At 35.7% G+C, this 24,880-nt stretch overlaps 1 protein-coding gene, 1 long non-coding RNA gene and 1 pseudogene across 24 annotated transcripts in view; 1 reads left to right on the forward strand and 2 right to left on the reverse strand.

Moving 5' to 3' along the window:
- The window catches only part of GRIA4 (glutamate ionotropic receptor AMPA type subunit 4), a 372,097-nt gene extending 347,506 nt beyond the window's left edge, over positions 1-24,591 (forward strand). For 8 of the 23 annotated variants that reach the window (NR_046356.2, NM_001440386.1, NM_001440388.1 and 5 more), the window contains 3 exons: positions 14,415-14,529; positions 16,811-16,945; positions 22,076-24,591. Coding sequence is in view for 22 of the 23 variants with exons in the window: in NM_001440386.1 (NP_001427315.1) it covers positions 14,415-14,529; positions 16,811-16,945; positions 22,076-22,240 (415 nt within the window). In the remaining variant the exon portion in view is untranslated. Of the gene's footprint in view, positions 1-8,447; positions 8,563-14,414; positions 14,541-16,810; positions 17,059-22,075 lie in introns of those variants that run through there. The other 15 variants (NM_001440383.1, NM_001440382.1, NM_001440390.1 and 12 more) reach the window with 5 other exon arrangements.
- On the reverse strand, positions 9,668-22,187 carry LOC124902743 (uncharacterized). The gene is made up of 4 exons (XR_007062873.1): positions 22,081-22,187; positions 17,629-17,802; positions 16,759-16,908; positions 9,668-11,047 (listed from the first exon to the last, which is right to left on the reverse strand). It is a non-coding gene; the product is annotated as an uncharacterized LOC124902743 (long non-coding RNA).
- Positions 17,327-17,432, reverse strand: RNU6-277P (RNA, U6 small nuclear 277, pseudogene; annotated as a pseudogene).
- Positions 24,592-24,880: the final 289 nt, after the last annotated feature.

Consider the following 24,880-nt stretch of genomic DNA (forward strand, 5'->3'; position numbering starts at 1 on the left):
TTTGGTTACTGTAGCCTTGTAGTATAGTTTGAAGTCAGGTAGTGTGATGCCTCCAGCTTTGTTCTTTTGGCTTAGGATTGTCTTGGCAATGTGGGCTCATTTTTGGTTCCATATGAACTTTAAAGTAGTTTTTTCCAGTTATGTGAAGAAAGCCATTGGTAGCTTGATGGGGATGGCATTGAATCTATAAATCACCTTGGGCAGTATGGCCATTTTCATGATGTTAATTCTTCCTATCCATGAGCATGGAATGTTCTTCCATTTGTTTGTGTCCTCTTTTATTTCATTGAGCAGTGGTTTGTAGTTCTCCGTGAAGAAGTCCTTCACATCCCTTGTAAGTTGGATTCCTAGGTATTTTATTCTCTTTGAAGCAATTGTGAATGGGAGTTCACTCATGATTTGGCTCTCTGTTTGTCTGTTATTGGTGTATAGGAATGCTTGTGATTTTTGGACGTTGATTTTGTATCCTGAGACTTTGCTGAAGTTGCTTATCAGCTTAAGGAGATTTTGGCCTGAGATGATGGGGTTTTCTAAATATACAATCATGTCATCTGCAAACAGGGACAATTTGACTTCCTCTTTTCTTAATTGAATACCCTTTATTTTCTTCTCCTGCCTGATTGCCCTGGCCAGAACTTCCAACACTATGTTGAATAGGAGTGGTGAGAGAGGGCACCCCTGTCTTGTGCCAGTTTTCAAAGGGAATGCTTCCAGTTTTTGCCCATTCAGTATGATATTGGCTGTGAGTTTGTCATAAATAGCTCTTATTATTTTGAGATACGTCCCATCAATACCTAGTTTATTGAGAGGTTTTAGCATGAAGGGCTGTTGAATTTTGGTCAAAGGCCTTTTCTGCATCTGTTGAGATAATCATGTGGTTTTTGTCTTTGGTTCTGTTTATATGGTGGATTATATTTATTGATTTGCATATGTTGAACCAGCCTTTCATCCCAGGGATGAAGCCCACTTGATCATGGTGGATAAACTTTTTGATGTACTGTTGGATTTGGTCTGCCAGTATTTTATTAAGGATTTTTGCATTGATGTTCATCAGGGATATTGGTCTAAAATTCTCTTTTTTTTTGTTGTGTCTCTGCCAGGCTTGGTATCAGGATGATGCTGGCCTCATAAAATGAGTTAGGGAGGATTCTCTCTTTTTCTATTGATTGTAATTGTTTCAGAAGGAATGGCACCAGCTCCTCTTTGTACCTCTGGTAGAATTCGGTATGGTTTTGCAGTGGCTGGTACTGGTTTTTCCCTTCCATATTTAGTGTTTCTTTCAGGAGCTCCTGCAACGCAGCCCTGGTAGTAACAAAATCCCTCAGCATTTGCTTGTCTGGAAAGGATTATATTTTTCCTTCACTTATGAAGCTTAGTTTGGCTGGATATGAAATTCTGGGTTGAAAATTCTTTCCTTTAAGAATGTTAAATATTGACCCCCAATCTATTCTAGCTTGTAGAGTTTTTGCTGAGAGGTCTGCTATTAGTCTGATGCACTTCCCTTTGTAGGTGACCTGGCCTGCCTCTCTGGCTGCCCTGAACAGTTTTCCCTTCATTTTGACCTTGGAGAATCTGATGATTATGTGTCTTGGGGTTGATCTTCTCATGGGATATCTTAATAGTGTTCTCTGTATTTCCTGAATTTGAATGTTGGCTTGTCTTGCTAGGTTGGGGAAGTTCTCCTGGATAATATCCTGAAATGTGTATTCCAGCTTGTTTCCATTCTCCCTATCTCCTTCTGGTACTCAAATCAATCGTAGGTTCTGTCCTTTTATGAAGTCTTGGAGACTTTGTTCATTCTTTTTCATTCTTTTTTCTCTATTCTTGTCTGTATGTCTTATTTCAGTAAGGTAGTCTTCAAACTCTGATATCCTTTCTTCCACTTGGTCGATTCGGCTGTTGATACTTGCATATGCTTCACAAAGTTCTCATGCTGTGTTTTTCAGTTCTATCAGGTCTTTTATGTTCCTCTCTAAACTGGTTATTCTAGTTAGCAATTCCTCTAACCTTTATCAAGGTTCTTAGCTTCTTTGCATTGGGTTAAAACATGCATTTTTAGCTCATCGTAGTTTTTATTACCTATCTTCTGAAGACTCCTTCCGTCAGTTCTCTATCTGATCTTCCATCCAGTTCTGCACCCTTTATGGAGAGACGTTGTGATCATCTGGAGGAGAATAGGCACTCTAGCTTTTTGGGTTTTCAGCATTTTTTCATTGATTCTTTCTCATCTTCATGAGTTTGTCTAGTTTCGTTCTTTGAGGCTGCTGACCCTTGGATGGGGTGTTTGTGGGGGACTTTTTGTTGTTGTTGTTGCTGATGCGGTTGTTGCTTTCTGTTTGTTTGTTTTTCTTTCAATAATCAGGGCCCTCTTCTGTAGGGCTGCTGCAGTTTGCTGGAGATTTACTTTAGGCCCTATTCATCTGATTTGCTCCTGTGCAGGAAGATGTCACTCAAGGAGGCTGGAAAGCAGCCAGGATGGCTGCCTGCTCCTTCTTCTAGGACCTCTCACCTTGAGGGGCACCAACCTGATGCCAGTAGGATCGCTCTGGCGATAGGGTGTCTGACAACCCCTGTTGGAGGGTCTCATTCAGTTGGGTGGCACAGGGAGCAGGACCTATTCAATGAAGCACTTTGTCCCTTGGTGGAGAGGGTGTGTTTTGCTGGGGGGAGACCCACCCATGTGAGCTGCCCGATTCCTCAGAACTACCAGGAGGAGAGGCTAAGTCTGCTGGTCCGCAGAGACTGCAGCCACCCCTGCCTCTAGGAGCTCAGGCCCAGGGAGATGCTAATTCTGTCCCTGAGCCTCTGGCTGGAGTTACTGGAGATCCTGCGGGGAAGCCCCGCCCACTGAGGAAGAATGGGTCACGATTAGGCCTGAAGAGGCACTCTGGCTGCTGACTGCCACAGCCGGTGTGTTGAGCTGTGGGGACAAGTCTTGGGAGTGGGCTGTGGGGACAAGTCTTGGGAGCAAGCTGTCCAGCCTCCCTGGCTCCAGCAGGGGAAAAGCACAGCCTGGAGCTATAGAAATGGGTGCTGCCCTTCCCCCACCCAGGTAGTTTAGCATGTTAGGCAATTGTGAGTCCCAGTACTGGCTGCCGCCCCTCCCCCAAGGAGCTGAAACAGCTTCGACAGCAGGCAGCAGCAGCTGGTGCTGGTTGCCCCTCCCCCCGGGAGTTCCGTAGGTTCAAGCAGATTCCAGCTGAGAGGCTGTAAGAATCTGCATGTTCCAAGGTTGGGACGCTAGGCCCCAGTGGCGTGGGTTCGCGAGTGGGACCTTCCCATCTGTGGGTTGCACAGTTCCATGGGAAAAAGCACAGTTTCCCCGGATGGGTAGCGTACTCACTCACCGCCTCCCGTGGCTGTGGAGAGGAGGTTCCCCTTCCCGGTGTGGGCCACCACACCACAGTGCTCTTCCTTCTCTCAGTGGGTCATGCCAGCCTTCTAGACAATTTTGATGAGAGAGAGCCTGGATACCTTGGTTGCCTGTGAAGGATTCACAGGCTTATTATGTTTTTTTCCGATGGAAGCCTCTGAACGCCACAGCTTCCAGTCAGCCATCTTGGCCCCGCCCATCCGATCTCCAGTTTTTAATTCTATCATCAGTGAATGAGAATGCCTGCTCCTCTTATTAAATCCTCGACTATACAAAGCATATCTTTACTTTTATCTTTCCTATTATGAATGGTGAGAAATGAATTTGCATTGCTTTAATGCACATTAGTTTTACTCCAAATAAGGCAGAATTATTTTTATATGATTTTAGTTTAACTTCAAATAAGGCTGAATTATTTTATATGATTTAAATTTCTTGCTGCATAAGTTATCTATCCATGTTTTTTGCTGACTTTAAAGGAATGTTCTTATTTTTACACAATTTCTTTTTGTCACACAATTTTTAAGTGTTTTTAAACTATATTAAGATTTATTAAGGACTATGAAAAAACCTCTCAGCCTCATTCAGGTAAATATTCTGGACATTTTAACACTTGATATTTAAATTTTATATAATGTAGTATGAAGAGAGCACTCCAGTGAAGAGGTCACAGGCCTTTTTGGGACCAGAAGTGTTTTGGATTTCAGATTTTTTTGGATTTTTTGAATATTTGCGTTACACTTACCACCAGTTCAGCATCCGTAATCTGAAAACCTGCAATCTAAAACATTTCCAAAAAACATTGTCTTAAGTGCCAACATGATGCTCAAAGGAAATGCACATTGTAGCATTTAGGATTTCGGATTTTTGGATTAGGGATACTCAATTAGTATAACTAATGGATACTTTCTTATAAGGATAATAATCCACTAACACAATTACACAGTAGTTAAGACAGATAAACTGCATTAATTCCATATACTATTGCCATCATAGCCAACAATAAAGTGTTCATCCTATTAAGTGAGATGGAATTGAATGTGTTTAAACCAGACCAAAGATAATACTGCAAGTTATTTGTTCTACAAACTACATATGTCCTGAATATCTTGTGGGCAGACAATGACTAAATCTAAGAAGCTGTATCATCAGTCCTTTAGAACAATGTTCACAAATCCAGGAAATCAGAAAAATAAAACTAAACTTTACTAAAACTTTTTAAATTTGCCCTGTTTACTTAGGTTGACATTTTATCAGATATACACTTTAATACCTCACCAACAGAGAAATCATACTGTAAGAAATATGATCTAGAAGTAAATATGAGTGAGGCATAAAAGTAAGCATAAAAGCATATCCAGATCTATATAATTTAATGATAAGTTATTTGTGGAGGGGTAAAGAATAAGCAATAAATGTCTTAGGCTGGATTAAGCATGCTTTTCACAAGGAAATCTTACTTTGCACTAGATTAATGTGCCCAAAATTATTAATAATAAATGGAAAAAATTTACATATGTTAGTTCCCATAATAAAGCTTTGGTTTTATATGACATTTCAACAAAATTCTCATTAACAAAAGTAAGTCTTAAATGCTAGGTTAGTAAAGTATGGATTTTCATAACCTAACTCATTTGAGGGAAATTCCAGGAATAAAAACTTTTGGAAGTTTTTCAGAAGTCCTGGAAGTTGATCAAGTGAGCATTTTCATTCTAGGCCCGAATCAAATTCCCTGTCATCTCATTACTATGAGAAAAGCTATTTGGGGAAGGGATTTTCTCACCTAGATTTTCGCTAAGGCATACAAGGCAAAGGCAAACACATTACCTTGAACCTATTTCAGTCTATGCAACGTCATTGTCAACACATCTGGTTCTCCAATATGGTTTAAACATCTAGAAAAAATGTGGTCCCTTATTGCTTTTTCCTCCTCTTCTATTTTTTAATGGAAAGCAATTCATTTCAACTGACTTTGCAAAAGCTACATTTAACGCAATAAAGGGAATAATTAATGTAAGAAATAGCTAAAAATATTTTTCTTCTACACTTATCTGCTTGGCAGATCACTATTACAGTGACACTGATATACTTAATCAGGGCAAGAATACCCCTTAGAATCAATATGAGTTTGTGACATCAATTTTGAAGTCTATGTCTGAAATATTTGAAGGGGATTTCAAAAAAATAATAAAATGTGCTGCAGCGAGTATCTGCTTTCTACACCCCTCATTTATCTAACTTCTTATGGCTTCCTTAGCCTTGTTTATTATTACTTCTTCAGGATTTCACTTTCTTCTTAGCTTGACAAAAAGTACTTTTCAACCTAGTCCAGTAAAATGAGTGAAGTAATTATATACATATATATGTCATTGATGATTTTTATTACTAATAACATGTAGAAGTGATTCATTCTATAAAATAGAACAGATGTCCAAATGGTCATTATATACGTGGTTTATGTTAAAGTTTAAATAGCATTCTAAGGAGCCCTTTAGACCTAAACTTATTATGTGAGGGAATTACATCTTTAGTTAGACAATTGTAGAAAACCACAGACACTTTTAACATGCACGGAAATCTTGAAATACTATCTCCAGATATTGATTACAAAATGCCTTCCAACATGCATTATTAAAGAAAGGTAAATTTCATATATGATGGTATTAAGTGGACTCTATTGAGGGACCACATGTTTCTGGAAGGAAACCATGTAGATTAATTGTGAACTGGGTAGTAACTTATCTATTGGTCCAGTGTATAAAATTACACAAATATATGGATAGCAGTGTGAAACTAAACTGTTTTTACATGGCCTATTAGATGGTATTAGAAAGACAATGTTTTAGAATAATTTTGTAGAAAGCTTGATTCCAAACAATTTTCTCAACGTAAAGCTTTTTTTCCTTATCCATTCCTTTATTTTGCTTTTTAGTTTTCTATTGTGCTGTGAAACTGTCTTTGGATATGGTTAATAACCCTGTTAAATAACCCTCTCATGAAATAAGTTTAGTTTTATCAGAGGAATGGTCTAAATCAACACAGAAAATAATTGGAGTATTACTTCATTTTTAAAAATCTTCATATGAATGTTTAAGGCTAAAATAAAATGGATTATAAAAATAATTTTCTCCAAAATAGAGAATTTTAGTAGTTAACCTTAATTTATTGAAAGACAAATTTAGTTCCTCACAGACACAAAATAAATTAAAACAATTCCTTTTTTCCCAGCAGAATTTTTAAAAAAATAGATGTCTCTATCTTCATTCCTACATTTCAATCTGGTCCTTTGGTGATTAAACTAACAACTTGATATTGTCACATTAGGAAGTACATGCATTATTTTACACCACTAATGTGGCACTTACTTGGAAATGTAGGAGTAGCTAATTATTTAATTAGCATTCAGTAAATGGGCAGTCTAATTCTTAAGAAGAGTTAATACTAAAAACTCTTAAGTGTGTGGTTTACTTATGAGAACTGTTTACTCTCCAAGTGGATCAGATCATCACAAAATGGAAAAGCACGTTGTTGACCTGAAATAATATGAACAAATTTTAAGACAATAAACACTTTAGTAGGCTAATTAGTGGTAAAATATGCAACACTTTTTATTAGTTGGCTAAATGTCATTTTGCTTGCAAATCAATTATTCAACTGCTATTTGATAATATGGTTGCTTTATTTTACCTATAATTCATTTGCCATTAAGTAATCACCAAACTCAGTGTTTATAAAATAGCATATCACAAACGTTACCCAAATTCCCTCAGCATATGAGCCACTCCTTAAATTTAACAGAAATTTTATTAAATGATGGAAAAATCTCTTGAAATACCTATTGGGTCATTTAAAAACTGTAACTTGAAAGCAGGAAAGAAACCAAATGTATGGGAGGCAGAAGCCCATGACATGTTTTTTTTTGTTTTTTTTTTGTTTGTTTGTTTTTGTTTTGAGACGAAGTTTTGCTCTTGTCGCCCAGGCTGGGGTGCAATGGCACAATCTTGGCTCACTGCAACCTTTGCCTCCCAGGTTCAAGCGATTCTCCTGCTTCAGCCTCCTGAGTAGCTGGGATTACAGGTGCCCACAACCATGCCCAGCTAATTTTTGTATTTTTTGTAGAGACAGGGTTTCGCCATGTTGGCCAGGCTGGTCTTGAACTCCTGACCTCAGGTGACTGACCGACCTCCGCCTCCCAAAGTGCTGGGATTACAGGCGTGAGCCACCGCACCTGGCCCATGACACTATTTTTTAATCCTCCTAAAGAATAGCCAAAATAAGCTCCCCTATTTCCCTTTAGAGAAAAACATGGAGGAAATCTAATCTAGTGGGTTTGTTTGCAAAGTCAGTATCACATGCAGCATGACATCCTGGGGTTTAATTACTTAAACCGTCAAATTGGATATGTAATCCTAATTTCCAAATAGCATTCAATGCCTTTAAGAATTAACACAAAATTTAGATGTAAGAATTTTTCCCTAGAGCTGCTGCTGTCTCTTGACTACCATGTAGCTTCTAGTCCATGAAGCAAATGATCAGGAAATCCTAGATTCTGCGAACAACTAAATCGAGCACACTAAACCCACATAAAAAATAAAGGGAGTAATAATTACTCTTTGTTTTCAGGGAATCAGTAAAGAAAAATTAGTGGCTTGTTTGATGGTTTGTATATGCCATTTTGTTTTTCCTTGTGGGAATGAATTTTAATTTCATTCTCTTTTGGATCATTGGCATTCTTAGAGGCAAAGGAATTCAAGACACAATTCTTTCTCAATTACTAGTAAATTCCCGTTTATTACTGTTTTGCCAAAAAAAATCCATGTAATTGATGATGAGATCAGTTATTTGACAATAAACGAACTGTGAAAGTGAACAGCACCAAATACTGCATGTTTAATACATTTGAAATTAGTTACAATTGCCTTTGGTTTGGACTCCAGAGGAAGGGGCTGCAGGATGGTAAAATGAGAGGTTTATTTAGCGTCTGGGAGAAGCTTATAAAGAGCTTAAGTCCTCATTCCTTCTAACATCTTAACAGCTGTGCAGTTTCTTACAAAATATGTTTTATCGTTTCAAGAAATGCTGTTAACCTCGCAGTTTTAAAACTGAATGAACAAGGCCTCTTGGACAAATTGAAAAACAAATGGTGGTACGACAAAGGAGAATGTGGCAGCGGGGGAGGTGACTCCAAGGTTAGCCTCAATGTCACCAAAAGCGGGTAAACAGTATGTAAAGTAATAGGTGCATCTGCTGGGAGACTTATGGTTTGGACCTCCTAATACCAGTCGAATTGCTAGTCCAGTCCCTTCGCAAACTTACGTATGCAGTTACTGTCAATGCAAAAATATTTGCAACCATTATCAATTTAGTGACACACTAACAAACCTAATGAAAATAGTCACTGAAAATCTCTGCCTTTGAAGAAGTTGTGGATCAGACGTTATAAGTCTATGAATCTCAATTTTGGAAAGTAGGAAGGGATGTTAAGTTTCTGAAACAGCAAGTTAGAGAAGAGAGGGGAGGGAGCAGGGCGGTAAGCCTGTCTTGTTTTTTTTCACCATTACTTTACCAGAACTTCTACCAAATATTGCTTAGTATCAGCAATAACCTGACTCCACATAGACCTGTCTAGGGTGCCCACTAAAAAGTTTTCTCCATCTAAACTCTCAGGTTCTATTCAAGTTAAATAACAAATCAAAGGCTGTCATATGAACTACACATTTTTTGCCTTCCATAAATGGATCAAATTGCAAAATGATCAGGAAACAAAAATAAAATCAACTCAGCTTTGTCTTCACTTCATATCTTAACTCCAGCTTCCTAAAATAATAGTTTTTTTTATTTCTAAGCAATATCTAAAGAACAAAAAAGTAGGCAATTAACAGAATATGCTAGTGTCCCAGAGCCCTTCTTCACTATATATCAGTATTTTTAGACTTAAAGAAAACAGTTCATGGATGGGAAATTTCTCACCCGATCTAAAAAGCCTTTCAAATTAAGCTCACTTACATCTTCCCATCTAATAACTAGTTCTATTGCAGCAGGAGGAAGGACAAACTTTTGTCTCCATTCTAGGCACTGTCTTAAGGAGTAATAACTTATTTTATATTTTGGAGCTCCAACTGTCTGAAATTTTCTGATAGTTTTCATAAACATATAAATATATACATAGAGAAAAGTATTAAATTTTATACTAATAGCCTAGCATTCTTTCATGCAAATTAGAAATACCAGAAAATATCATAGAATAACACCAGAGAAAATAAAAACAAAGATATTCTATTCCATTAGAAAAAATTTAGTTTTCAAATTTTTATTATCACAAATACAGGAGAAGTAAAACACTGCTTTACAGATAAAATTTTCCACAAATATAAATAATGAAGTCCCATTTTAGCGTGCATTAAAGATGTTTTCTGGAGAAAAATAAGCAAGCATAACAGAAACATATATATGTTAGAAAAATCTATGTAACAAAAGTCATTCTAATTTATTGAAATGAACTGGACAACTCAGTCAGATTTAATTAGCTTGTATCCAACTCATTGTTTGGTACATAATGGACATTTTTATTTGTTGGACATAAATATTTGTTGTCCAAAAGAATAAATTTCTCTCTAACCCTGTAGTTTCCAAAGCCGAATTGCTTCTTCTTATAGTTATGCAGTGACATTACTTTCACCAAACATGAACTACAAAATGTTTTAGAATGAACGCTATTTCAAATTTTAACAAGTAGGTTTCCAAAATGTTATAAAAAATTAACATAAAATGTTCTCCCAAAATGAAATACATTATGTTTTATTTTTTCCTCCAGGAATGTGTTTGTATACCAAAAAAAAAAAAAAATCCACGTAGGTTGTTATTGGTCTAAGGTTTATCAAGAGAATAGATTGTTGCACTCTAAATGTTAATAATACCCTACTCTGCATTTGTCATACAAGATGATATTTTAAATGGCCTGACCTAACTTAAATCGAAATAAATTACTAGGAGACAGTTGTTGCTTTTTCATTTTCATTTTGTACCTTTTTCAGGTGACTGATTTTCTTTGTAAACTTACCTTACCCCTCCCATTTGGCCTGATCTTCATCAAAAGATGTAAAATAAGGAGAAAAAGTCCTGAAGTGAGAAATGCAACTGACTCTAAAGCCTTTGTGTGTAAAACTAAAGCAGAAAAGACCAATGCTGCCAATTCAGTGCAGAAGGGAAAATACAGAGAGAACTCAGCACACACATGCTGAAATCCTGGCTTAGCTGACCTTCAAATACAGAATCTTGGTAGGAGAAAACTAACTATCCCAACAGTGACTCATCTAATGAAGAAGGGAAATATGGAAACCTGTACCACACATGGAAAGGTTTCTGTGAGAGAGCTGACTCACTTGTCATTCACAGGACTGTAACCTCTCCAGCCTTCCATTCAGCAGCAAATTATTAAACTTGTGTTTGAATGGGGCCATGTGCCAGTACCTGTATAGAAACAGAATTACCACTGTTCTTTCCCTCAAGGAGCTCATGATTTAATATAAGGAACAATTAGACTATTTGGGGTCGCTGCAGCAGCTTCCCTGTCACACTCCAGGCCGTGCAGTAATTAGCATCCCCACTCACCTGACAGCCACTCTCAGTGCTGTGAAGTTCTGACCATAGCAGTCCTCAGCCAAGAGGCTTCACCTTGAAAGGTAAAAAATTAACAACAGATATGAAGAACAGGGTCCTGCATCTTACACGAAATAAATTAAAGCAGAAATGCATGACTTGTGGGGTACAAATTCCTTCATTTGAAAACTTGATCCTTTGATGGTGTTCATATGAGTTAATATTATTGTGATATGGTCCTGTTTTATGGTCATAAGAAATTCATACTCAATCTTGGGAATAAAATAGCAAAAATTTACTACTTGACAATGAATGAGCCAATTTAAAAATATTGATTGCAATGTCTAAAATGTATTCTCCACTTTGGTTAACCTAGTATGGTTTAGTCAAAGCACAAACCATACAAAGAATTTTAGGCCAATTTTTATGCCAGTTATTCAATCCTGGTTCTAGTTAGAAATTTTGGCAACAGCTGCAACCATCAATCACCCATTATTACAGTTACAAAATTATTTTTTCTGTTAATTCTATACTTTATTCTGCTTCTACATGTGTAAAATATGCACACTCATAAATGTGGATATTCATATAAAATTATTTTGTAAGTGTTATTATACCAAATAATGCTTTCTCTAGGTATTATATTTGGTCGTGCACTTCCTGATAATTTGGCCCTTTGAAGAATACAGCCCATTTCTGACTTTGATAGATGCTATACTTACAAATAAGCCACTTTCCTCTATCACAGCCATGACAACCAATGCAAGAATAAAGGAATTAGTACAGAAAATATGCATTCATCAGCAGGAAAAAATGGAAAGGAAAAAAAGTTGTAGTAAACAAAAAACACTAAAGGAATCTAGCCCTTGGAGAATGACTCTCCCAGTAATGAATTCCTTGTTCTGATAGTCCACCAGTTGAACATTAATTATGGTTAATACTAAATATCTTATATTCAAAGTGTTAATCTAATCCTCTAAAACCGGGTTACAGGTGTGAAATAGCAGAAAGGATAAAGAGGCCAGAGGGAAAAAGAAGGCCATAGGAGAAAAGACTGCTTTAAGAGGGGAGAGAGAAGCCTAATGCAGTCTTCATCTTATTCACAATTTTGCCTTCAATTGTCCCTTCTTGAAGAAACTTAAAGGAAACTCTCGAACTTTCCTCCAGTTTTCAGCACTGAGTCCTCCTCCTCCCAGCCCACCCCATTCAAGAACTGAAATATAGGATAATATAGTTTAGCACCCATGTGTTACAAAGGCTTTGGGGAGCTTGCCTGGGGACCTAAAAACCCTTAGAGTATCAGTTCAAGAAAAAAGCTTGCTCTGGATTCAAAAATCTTGCTCTGTCATTTTTCAAATTGAGCTACTTTATAGAGCACCTACTCTGAGTCAGCTACTCTGGAAAATACCATTTTACAGAGATAAATGAGATGTGACTTCTGCTCTCAAAGGATTTGCAGGTCACTAGCAAACCCACAGTTGTGGTTATTGTAACAATCACGTCACAAATGGGGCTTGGGGGTCAGGTGCAGAGAGTAGTGGTTGGTATGGATAGGAAAACCTAGATTAACTGGGTTTAAAATAACCAGGCACCCCAATTAACCATAATCCTCAACTCACCCCACCCTCAAATTCAGCTTTTAGTAGAAAGTATTAAATCATGCTCATGTCAGATTTTAATCCAAAAAACAACATAATATTCTAGGATCATGGCAAATATATATTACTTCTTCAGTGGAACAATGAACCTAAGCCATACTAATATAACATTGAAACAAAATTTAAATTATATCCTGAAACCATATAAACAAAAATAAAAATTTGTATTTTAGAATTTTTTTCAAAACTAACCATACAAAAAAAAATGGGTTTTAGTTTAACCAGAAGGCCCAATTAACTAGAAACATCATTTTGTGAGTCTTCTGCTATTAATATTTTTAATTGCAAAAGCTATGAAATCATACTATCAGGAATCCTGATTAGGCTACTGCCTCGCTGTGTAACTTGCTGAATTAAGCTCCCTGTGCTTTGGTTTCCTCATTTGTAAAATGTGAATGATGTTAGTGAACATGAAAAATGCTTTTAACCGTGCCTGGTACATAGTAAATGCTCAGTAAATTTTAGCTGTCATGATCACCATCATTCTTAATGCATTTCCTAGTTGTATAGATAGGTTTTTGGAATGAATTCCCAATAAATGCATGTCTTGTAACTCCAGATGCACTCAGCATTTCCTAGAAGAACTGAGGCGCATTAGGGGATACAACCAGGCAAAATGTCCAGAAGAATATGAAAAGTCTGTCTTGGGATGAAATGAAAAACCAATAAGCCAACAAAATGGTAACAACAAAAGATCCTGAAACTTTCTGCTTTCCATTCATCATCTTAGCCTTCATATTGTAATATGGGAGTGAAAACGGAAAGAATTATTAAATTCCTTGGAATATTGACGCCAGGTAATGACTGATGTCCTCCTCCCTGAAACTCCTAATATAATATTTAGTGTTGAAGGAATCAAAGATAGTAGAGGAGACAAATAGAGTCTCTAATAAATATAAATAGAGTCTTCTTATAAGAGGAGTTTGTCTATTCAGAAAAATCTTGGTTACCTCTAACCTGTCTGTCTTTTTTTGTTGCTAAGAATTTGTGGAATATATTATAGTCACTTCACCTTGTACTTAAAGTACATTAATATGCTTTAAGATTCAAGATAGATGAAAAGATAAATAGATGATAGATTCAAGATAGACAAGATAGATGAAAATTGCTTCTGGTGATATTATTTATGTTAAAGACTGCAATTTAGAAGGAAAGTATCATCATGGGCTTACGCTTTAAAATAATTATTTACATATTTTTCTCCTGATGACCTTCCTCTGCATAAGATGGTCTTTTGTAACACTGAAATCACCCACCTTTTTCAATTAGGTTTTGGATGAAAGCGGTCAAGAAGTCAATTTAATGATGGATACTGTAGACATACTTTTATAGCATAAAGTCAAATACCATAAGCTGAATCATAATGCATGCAAGCAATGAAATCAGTCCTACCTAGCTTCTATTTCAGTCTGTCTGTCAACCTGCAGCCACTTCCTTAATTTTGAAAGAGAACAAAAAGAAGCTTCTGGATTTTGAATGGCTGCCACATTTATGTGGGGAAAATGGTAAATGTTCCAGAAACCCAACCAAGGCCAATAGTTTTGGATTCACAGTAATTGCATACATTTTATTTAAAAATCCTCCCTAGCAGTATGTGCCTGTTACCTAAAGCGATGGAGCAGGCCCCAGTTTTATGTCTGATTCTAAACCTGGGCCTACAGTACAAGACATAGCACCTACTGTGGCCTCTGCTCTGTCACTTTGCCATGCGATTCTAATGTAGTTTTACTTGAATAACATAAAATAACATATATAATGTTATTTATGTTATTTTCCACGTGAAGAACTCCTGTAAACCTTGCCGTTTTGAAACTCAGTGAGGCAGGCGTCTTAGACAAGCTGAAAAACAAATGGTGGTACGATAAAGGTGAATGTGGACCCAAGGACTCTGGAAGCAAGGTCAGTCGCTGCAGTTCGGGGCCTCCTCTTGTGTTCACAAAGCAGTAAACGGGAGCAATTGTCAAAAGTATATGGAAACCATAAAAACTGAACATTATACACTCAACCACTGCCTAAATTAAAAGCTAATGTCATAAATTTCAACCATAGGGATGGTCTTCCCAGGAAACTGCAACCTGCTCCCCAATATTAAGACTTTTAAATTAAATTAAAACTGCAAAAATTCTTAAATAATAAAATTCCTTTTACATTATTCTCAAACTTACGTACCACTCATAAAAGTAGTGTTTTTTGGGGTAGTTTTTTTGTTTGTTTTGGAGGCAAAGACTTCATGAAATCATGTTATTTCAAGAACTGATATATTCTCAAAACAAGAAATCAGTAGTAAACCAGAAAAAGGAGATTCTAAATATTAATTAAATGCTTACTCAGAGGTTCAGTCTTTTGTCACCATAGTGCCAAGCATTCCACTTTAGTTTGAAGAACCTCCATTATATTTCTGTGCTGATAGAGAAACAGAGTGAACCTTTCAATTCTACTTGCCCAATTGAAATTGTTTTAATTAATCAATGTTTATGAATAATATTCTCAAGTTCTAAGATCTCTTAATCATAAATTCTTTTTTAAACAATGCAGGAAAAAAATAAAAAATGCAGGAACCTATATTCCTAATTCTGTTGAGTACAAATAAAAGTAATGGAAATAGTTATGTTTTTATTTTTTAAAAAAATTACAAGTTTATCAGTGAATCTAAATACCTACACAAGTTGATAGAATATAGTAACAGCACCTGAAAGCCAGAGCTGAAGTTTCTTGGAATCCCCTTTTATTTCTTTCTGTATCTTCTTTAAGAAAGAAAACAAATTACTGGATATTCTAAGATATTAAACATGTGACTGCTTTAAATAGGAGAGCCTCAATTAATTTAAGGAGACAAACTAATGTTAATGAATCCCTTTCAGGCCTTATCCCTATATTTTAATCATTTCTGTCTGCCCTTTAACCAGAGTGGAATGAGACAAGCTTGGCCAGATAATTAAACCATTACCTGAAATCCTGATGTAAAGTCAGACAAGTGCAAATACTTAATGAGTAATTATTTTGAAAATGAAGTTACCCTAAAATGTTTGGCCCAGTCAGTTGATGTTGTGACTAAGGTGACAGTGTATATAGTGCATCTTTTGAGTTAAATACTCTCCTATAAAACTCGTTAAGGGTCTGAATCACATTTTGCACAAAACATACTGCTGAGAAGATAATGACTACAGGGCATCCTTCAGGTAGTCTACCAAAATACTTCTTGCAATAACATTATGTAATAAGCATATTTATAATTTATTAAACAATTTTGAATTCTTGTTACAATTTTAGTATCTTCCAATCATAAGAGTAGGACTTAGGGATTATTCTGGATTTATTACGAGATTATATGTATACTGAAGCTCTGAAGAATAAATAATATCTCTAAAATATTAATGGACTAAGCATTTTTAAGTGGGAATTATATTGTATTTTTAATTAATAAAAATAATTATAGATTCATCCATACATAAATAACTTATTTCTCAATTGACCATAATAATTTATATATTTTTTAAAGTTATCTTAAAAAATTACTTGAGTTACACATAGATAATTATTTCTAAACAGTATATAATATGCAAAAGTAACATTTTCCATGAGATTTCCCTTGTAGATGTAACTGAAAGAACAAATAATGTGTACCTTGGCACATTATTTGCATGTATTTGGTAAATTAATGATGAACAAAATGTGAAACCATCAGCTCAACAACTCCTTAGTTGCTCAACTAGGAAATGCGGAGTTGGATTTATTCAAGAGAAATCTCAAACATTAAAAGTATATTCTAATAGAAGCAAAGCTAAAAGACGTCCCCTTTCTCCCATAATTGGATTTTTAAACCTGTCATTTTCAAACTTAATAATAATAAGCCCATTTCTGCCACTCTATGTAAATATATAAATGCTTATATAAGGCTAAGTATAATGGTTTTCATTGCATATTTAATAATGATAAAATGTTACTGATTTCATTGAATGTAATTAGATACAATTTGTTGATAACTATTATAATTTTACTTCTCCCAAGAGCTATAAGATTTATGTTTAAGTCCATTAGCCTACATCAGTGACTTATACTTGTAAATCATTTCAGGTTAAATTAAGCATTTACTTTCATTGGCTTTTTGGATTTCATGTGTTCTTTTACCTTTTGGATGTGACATTTCCACAGTTAACTGAAGTGTCTTTATCCCCCCTAGGACAAGACGAGTGCCTTGAGCCTGAGCAATGTAGCAGGCGTCTTCTACATTCTGGTTGGCGGCTTGGGCTTGGCAATGCTGGTGGCTTTGATAGAGTTCTGTTACAAGTCCAGGGCAGAAGCGAAGAGAATGAAGGTGGCAAAGAGTGCACAGACTTTTAACCCAACTTCCTCGCAGAATACCCAGAATTTAGCAACCTATAGAGAAGGTTACAACGTATATGGAACCGAAAGTATTAAAATTTAGGGGTAGGACTTAGGCCCGACTACAGTGAGTGGGGGATGCATCCTGTGAACGCAGTGTTGTGACCTGTCTGTCCAGTGGTGGTATTGCTTGCTTCTAATTAGAGCTTTATATTTTTGAAAACTTCAGTGCAAATTGGTTCGGTTTTCTTTGGCTGCAGATGTACTGTTTGAAACTTTATGTTGCCAATAGATATCTGCATTGCAAGGGTCAGAAAGATAAAAACAAACCAGAATTGCTCTGTGAAATGATTTAAACAGTATATTCTACCTGAAATTTGGGGAAAATTGGAAATTAGATCTGGGCTTCCTTGCACATAGACTGGGCAAATCTTTTCTGTAACAGTTCAATTTTAGGGTAGGTGCTAAAAAATAAGCACAAAATCTGTTCCAAGTGATCAAAACCCAGACTGTTGCCTATTTTTGACAAAGTCATATTGTTTTCTGAGGACCAATACATGTAAAAACTCCAAGGTACAGAGTATGTGCTCAATGAATTTTGGCTCCTCTTCTAATTTGTTTTACATTAGCCATCATTCTACATTTTTAAAACATGAAATCCCACTTTTTATTTACCTGATGGTAGTCCTTGAGCCAGACCTTTAAGGAAGAGTGATCATCAGAATTTTGACTACAATTCACATTTATTAGATGAAATTCAACTTTTATGCTCAAAGTATCACTAAGGTAAATAGACATTTTAGGCAATACAGCAGTTTTTCCATCAGAGACGTCAGCAATATTTGTGTCCTATAGGAAAGATTCAGAAAAAGATAAAAATTGCAGTGAGTCATTACAAACTATTTTTTTTTTCATTTCCATTGCTTTTAAGCAATCCAGGTTAGCCCCACTTACTCACATCCTCTCATCATGGCATAATAAAAAATTGTAAGCATTCAGTAAAATATAGGAGTTGGAGATTTAAAAAAAAATCTAAATGTCCACTTCTTTCCTCTAGTAATAGGAAGTAGCTTTAAAATAAGATCTGAAAGGATTTGTTATTGCTCTTCCTAAAATCAGGACTCTAAAACCCATTTTCTAAAATTATCTATAATAGCTAAGTGAATAGGCTGCTCAGTTTCATTACAATGATAAGTGAGTCTTTGAACTTCCAAGAGATATTTGGTACTTGATGTACCCTAGAGTCAAAAACCCGATATACTTTCAGTAAGATGTACATCTGAGTTTACACCAGCTAAACACGCTTGATTTTTTATATTTATTTATATGAAAGCTTTTGAAATACTTGTATCTTAAAGCAAAGAGCCAATGCCATCCCTTTTTATCAAGATCTAATTGCTTTCATCCATAATGTAGAAATTAGTGACTGAGTACAATAGCACATAGATAGTTCCAAAACGATTCTTTCCAAATTTTGTGAAAAAGAATTAAGAACTAAATCCTCAATTCACTCGATCCAAACATTTTTAGCATGTCTTATGATAGCAAAACTACAAAGTGGGATAATATCAAGGTGTCTTAGCCATTAGAGGAATGCTTTCATCTTAATGTTTACAGAGTTGATGAGAGACTTTTTTCAAATTGAGAAAAACAATACTTGATTAGTTTTCAGAGCCAATTATTTGGACTGAATTCTGAGATGAATTTTATAAGATGTCCTTACTAGATTTTGTTAACAGTTCATTAAAACTGACTTTTCTTTGGCATAACAAAGGCACTCCAGCCATCATCAGCAAGGTACAAGGGTGGGGAAGCAAAGCAAATAAAAAAAGAGTATTAGAAATTTTTAGAAATAAATGCTGTGTATGCTAGTTCATTTCAAAGTTCAGGGAAGTTATTAAAAGGAGATGTAAATTCCCACGTCATATATATACAATTTACATATAACATTGTTTTTGGAGTCACAACTTGAAATTGAATTTCCTTACATGAATTGCCTTTAGAGGTAGATTTGAACATTTAAGACAAAAAAATTTCAAATAAATAGGAAGCATTCATTGGACATTTTAAAAGACAGTGGCATTTGGGATAAATGAAATAATCTGTGCCTGTCAAAACTTATAAGTAAGCAGTTTTTATTGTACTCTCAAATTAAAGGAAAACTTTCATAAACTCTATGACCATAATTATGGAAATGATTGGTAATTCAAAAATAATATTGCCCCAGAATCCCAAAAACAAAACTGGCACCTTCAATCCATGGTAGATTCTACTAAAAAGTGATCATCCCTCAAGGGAACATAAGCCACAACAATCCAACAAAACCCAGACCATATGTAAAATCACTAGAAAGTTTTCCAGTTTGAGGAACCTCAAAAGGTTCACATCAAGATGAATAGAAATGGCATTTTATGGAAGATACAGATGATGTAAGTATAGGAAATAAAAATGCTAAAACAGATTTAAAGAAAAATAAGTCAAAGTTTTATTAAGTAATACACTTCATTGCATTAATCTATAAAATAGGAGGGTGTATTTGAGATTATATGGAATTGTTCAACCTTTGGAAGTTTTCCTTTCCCCACAAACATGATCAAGAAAAGGAAGAAAACAAAAACAGATTTTTCTGGCAAAAGCCTTCTGTAAACACTTTTTAAAAATTACCAGGCTTTTATTAATGGTATTTTAGTATTTCCTCTTGAAGAAAAATTAAAACAAAGCTAAACTAGTGGATTTTAACAAATAATTGTCTATTTTACTTAACATTAAATGTTGAAAGGGAATCTAAGGAAACATATTCAGACTTTGATTTTGGTTTTGTTTAAATTTAGTGATTAGTAGATACCTATGAATTCTCTGGAACTACCTTTCCTGAATCTCTTGTTAAACAAGAGGTGAGTGGTTTGGAGACTCTGAGTGGTTTGGGGACTCTTTCAAAGATTTAAGATGGGCTAATACATTGGTTTGGATTAGACTCGTGGATATTCATTTTTCTTGTTTTCATCAGCATATGACTTTATCTAACTAATATAAACTTCCTAAATCTGCTCCCAAATTGTTTTCTTTAGAAGATTGTGGAAAATGCCAATGCTGTAACTGGAGTATTCCATATAGTTAGGCACTCACTAAAGGGTTCTGACCCCCAAAATGTCCATCTAAAACACATAAAATGGAAAAGATTACACTAGAAAGTTATTTAGCATCTTGATACCAAGTCTTGTCTTATGTTTCTTAAATACATTTTGTTGCTAGATTTTCTTGATATAAATAGTCCTGCTTTGCTAATACTTCTTTTTATACACACACCCAAAACATATGTACTTTAATATTGAGTAGGAAAACATTCACCTCCAATAACACAGTCTCCCCAGAGTCTCACTTCAAAAAACAAGACTATTGCAGCCATGTACACATTTTAGTTCCCTTGGTGAAATTATTCTATATGGGTGAGGTTCTTGATTAAGGGATTCTTTCAAATGCTCAAATGGAATTGAATTGTTTCATTTCTAACTTTCTCACTGGTGCAGTGAAATTCAATTCTGTTCAATTTAAAATAGTGGGCAATGTATTCATTTGCATTTTTAAGGTACAATTTACATACAATAAAACCTACCCTTTTTAGTGTACAGTTCTGCAGGTTTGATAAATTATGAATAATTTTAGTATATTATTCTATCAGTTTCATTTACAAGAAAGATAAAAAGTATCTTCCTATATAAGGTCATTCATCCACTCAACAAATATTTACTGAGTGCCTATTATGTGCTAAATAAAAGACAGAAGGACTTTGATTTCAACGGACTAATAGAAGATAATCAAGTAGAAGTGTTGTTTTTCTCTAAAATCCTTGTTATATTTCCTTGATTTCTAAATATAAAAACTATACATGTTTCTGTGAAGACCATATCCTGAGTTCTGATTATGATGATAAGTATTAATTTTTAAGACTGTTTACTGAAACAGAACTGTGAGATTGACCTTGATTTTGTCATTTATATGTCATTACTAGCAATTTGACTTCAACTTTCTGAAGTTTTCAGAGTAACTGATCTGTAAACATTTTTACTCCACCAGTTTTTAAACTAGTTACTAATTTCATTACTTAATATATAATTATTCTAATATTTAAGCTCCAGGGCAGAATAAACACAGGGATGGAATTTCCTAAAGATTTGGATAAACTTGAATTCACAACAGGGAATTAGATACATGCTGAGTTGTGAGTTATGAACTAAGTCATAACAAACTCAGGGAATCACTCCTTTACCCTATTTTCCTCTTAAGTTATAATTCTAGCTACTAGAAAGAATTTAGACAGTGAATGAACAGTAATGAGACTAACATAATAACAGTGCCTGTTTCTCCTTTGTGTAATGTTATCTGCTATGTAATGTGATAAGGAGCAGGAATTTACTGATTTCAGATCCCTGACTCTATAACCTCAATATGGGAGGTTCCCCAGTCATGACCATTCAGTAGGCTTTGAAACATATCCCTTTTCAGTGCACCCCTTTTAAATACAGTTCTTAAAATATGAGCCTTAGTGTCCATAATAGCATAGAGTGAACTATATGTCACTAATTGTGCTGTTCTGGGTCATGTCTATAACTGGTGTGAATGAATGAAGTGTCTGTGGATAGGTCTGTGTTATAAAACAGGAAGATCTGTCATGAATAGTCTATACATATCGTTTGTTTAGGTACTTCATTAGTTCTGGTAGTTTAATCCTTGCACTGTAAAGACATTTCATGACAAGGAAATACTATTTAAAGAATGTTGTCAAACATAAAAGAGCTTTTAAGCTCATCCAGAAGTACTAAGATATACAGTGCAGCAAGTTAAAAGATGTTTCCTGCCCAGATTTACTAACAGTAGTTAAATATTATAATTTTAGAATTAGTTTTTCCACAAGTAGGACCACAAACTCTAGACAGATTCATTCTTCGGTGTAGTTAAGCTTTCCTTTCCCTGGATAAGCAGTTTTCATATGACCAAAAGAACATGGAAAAAATGCAGATGTCTAATTATTTATATTTCGGTGTTTGTTGTGGAACATATTGTTGAAGAAACAGAAATATGGTAACACTCCGCGTTCTTTCTGCTTCCTTTCCATGCAACCCAGCTGACCTTTTCTGAAGCCATAAGAAACAAAGCCAGATTATCCATCACTGGGAGTGTGGGAGAGAATGGCCGCGTCTTGACGCCTGACTGCCCAAAGGCTGTACACACTGGAACTGCAATCAGACAAAGTTCAGGATTGGCTGTCATTGCATCGGACCTACCATAAAAACCAAAAAAATAATTGAGTGCCTTAATTAAACTGTTGGTGACTGGTGGAAACGCAGCCCTGAGGGACACGCCACGCGCGGGTCTTTGCTAAACCAATCCTTTGGCTGAGAGCGGGAAGTCCGTCCTAACGCGCTGGCCGGACATCAGCAGCAGCAACGTGTGCATGAGCTCAGCTCGGAAACCCAAACTCAGATTTTATATCAGGAAAACTCACAATTGAGGTTTTTTTCGGGGAGTGGGTGGGGGAGGGATCTGGGATGGGTGTATTAACAGCAACAAATTTCATTCGAGTGGACTCAAAAACTAATCAGACTTATGAGTTAGCGCATTAAACTGTGAAGTTCTTGCTCAGAAAGGCCTTTGTCTTCACCGGAAAGGATAAAATAGTTGTAGAAGTCCGTGAACATGCTAACCTGTGTCTCCAGAACATCCATATAGTCCATGGAAGAAAATCCAGCTGAGAAAACAAATCACTAAACTGTGATAAGAAAATAATGAACAAACATGTAAAACCTGTGGGAAAAAAAAATAAAGGAAGTATGTACACTTACTTTGGAGAAAACAAATACTGAAACATGCTTGCTTTTTAACTGACGTAAATTCAGTAGAGGACAACACAATTCTTTTTTCTAACCATCTTAGGGAACAATACATTGCAATAATTGATATAAATGCCATCACTGTAATAAACTTTAGAGACTTTTTTTTATAAAAGTTGTTGGTCATCTTCTTGTTTGCTGTAACCTTCACTATGTCACATGAGTCGATTCACCGATTGCATTTGTCTCACAACCAGGAAGAAAAGCAAAAGGAAGAAAACGTTTAGGTTCAATCATCAGTCTGCGGTGTAGACTCGAAAGAGATGACAGGTCACTCATGTTAATGGTATTATTTATAATCTCATTCTGTGTACAACATTGTGGTTTTTGTACCCACCAAAAAGAATAAAACAGCAGATGTTCTTACAATATCTACAGAGCTTAAAAGTTTTTTCTTATCGTTATAAAAGTTATTTGAGAAATTATAAGACTATAAGAGAGATTGTATTAGTGGTGGGCCATAGTGGAAAATGTAGCTAGCCCTCATTATTTTTTGCATACTAAGCTACCCCTCCTTTTCAGATCTTTGACTCATTAACAGATTAAACTGTCAAAGATGGAGTCTTTGAGTTGGGGAATGAATCACTGTCCTAACAACAACATACCTTGTAATTGTGTGTTGAAATTTTACTTGACTGTATTTTGCTGCATAAAATTATGTGTCTCTTGGGCTTCTTCCCTTATTCCTATTGTTCCCTTTAAATCATATGAAGGCATTCATAATAGCTTGGGGTAGATAACAAATGAAGAATTAGTCTTTGTTTTCAACTGGAAATTGTAAAGAAAATTATACTCATGTTTATTTATAAAAATCACCTTATGTATGAATTAAACTAACATGGTTCAAAAGAAGGTTTGGTTCATTTGAAATAATAAATAAGTACTCTAATACAGATAAAAATCATGTACTTAGGGTATTGGCAGAAAGCACAAGTTAGGATGATTTCAGAAGTCTGGCCTTGAAGGATGAGTTGAGTTTTAACAGGAGGAGAAGGTGTTAAGAGCCATATGAGTGAGCAGTGGCCCAAAGCCATGCACATCAGTGGCTCATTTAAGGAATGAATGCCATTAGATGGGCTACTGAGAGTACAGGGATATTATGGAAGATAAAGTTGGAAAAGCTGAAGGATTGATTTTCTTCCATCAACTCTCAAGATCCCATTCGCCATTCAATCTCTGTGCTGCAGTAAGAGCAATCTTAAACAGTATAAATCACACACACACACACACACACACACACACACACACACAAGTCCCTCAGGAAAAATTCCAAGCTCTTGAGAAGATCACATGAGCCCCTTCATGACCTGGCGCTTGCTTATTTCTTCCAGGACTTCTCTCACTTCTATCCAGCTATTCCCGTCAGCAAATGAACCTCCAAAGCAGCACATGGAGCACTGCATAGACTATTTCCTCAGTGCGTAACTCCTCCCTGTCTCCTCTTTACCTGAGTAACTTGTACTCATCCTTCAATACTCCAACTGAATTTTACTTACCCTGAAAAGATTTCCATGGCTATCCACCACCCCCCTGCCTGTGAGACTGAGTTAGGTGCCCTTTTTCATGTCTTTCCCCCATCACGGCACTTACCATACTGCGTTGTAATTGCCTGTGTACTCGTCTGTATAACTACTAGACTGTAAGCTCCTTGAGGGCAGGGACTGTGTCTATCTTGTTCACAGTTGTATCCCCAGCACCCAGCACAGTGCCTGGCATATTGTAGGTGCTTAATAAATATTTGTTGAATGAATGAGTGAATTGAATTGAATTAATTTAATTAAGTGAAAGCAGAAAAACAGCATCTTTTCCTATTGACAGTCTCTAGAGTATATTTTAGGTAATATGGTCCCCAACTTAATGATCATTCGACCCATGATTATTCAAGTTTATGATGATATGCATTCAGTACAGTACTCGATAAGTTACATGAGATATTCAACACTTAGTAATAAAATAGGCTTTGTGTTAGATGACTTTGAGGCTAATATAAGCGTTCTGAACACAGGTAAGGTATGCTAAGCTAACCTACTGTGTTCAAC

This window comes from Homo sapiens, chromosome 11 (genome assembly GCF_000001405.40).
Source record: "Homo sapiens chromosome 11, GRCh38.p14 Primary Assembly".
Classification (NCBI taxonomy): Eukaryota; Metazoa; Chordata; class Mammalia; order Primates; family Hominidae; genus Homo; species Homo sapiens.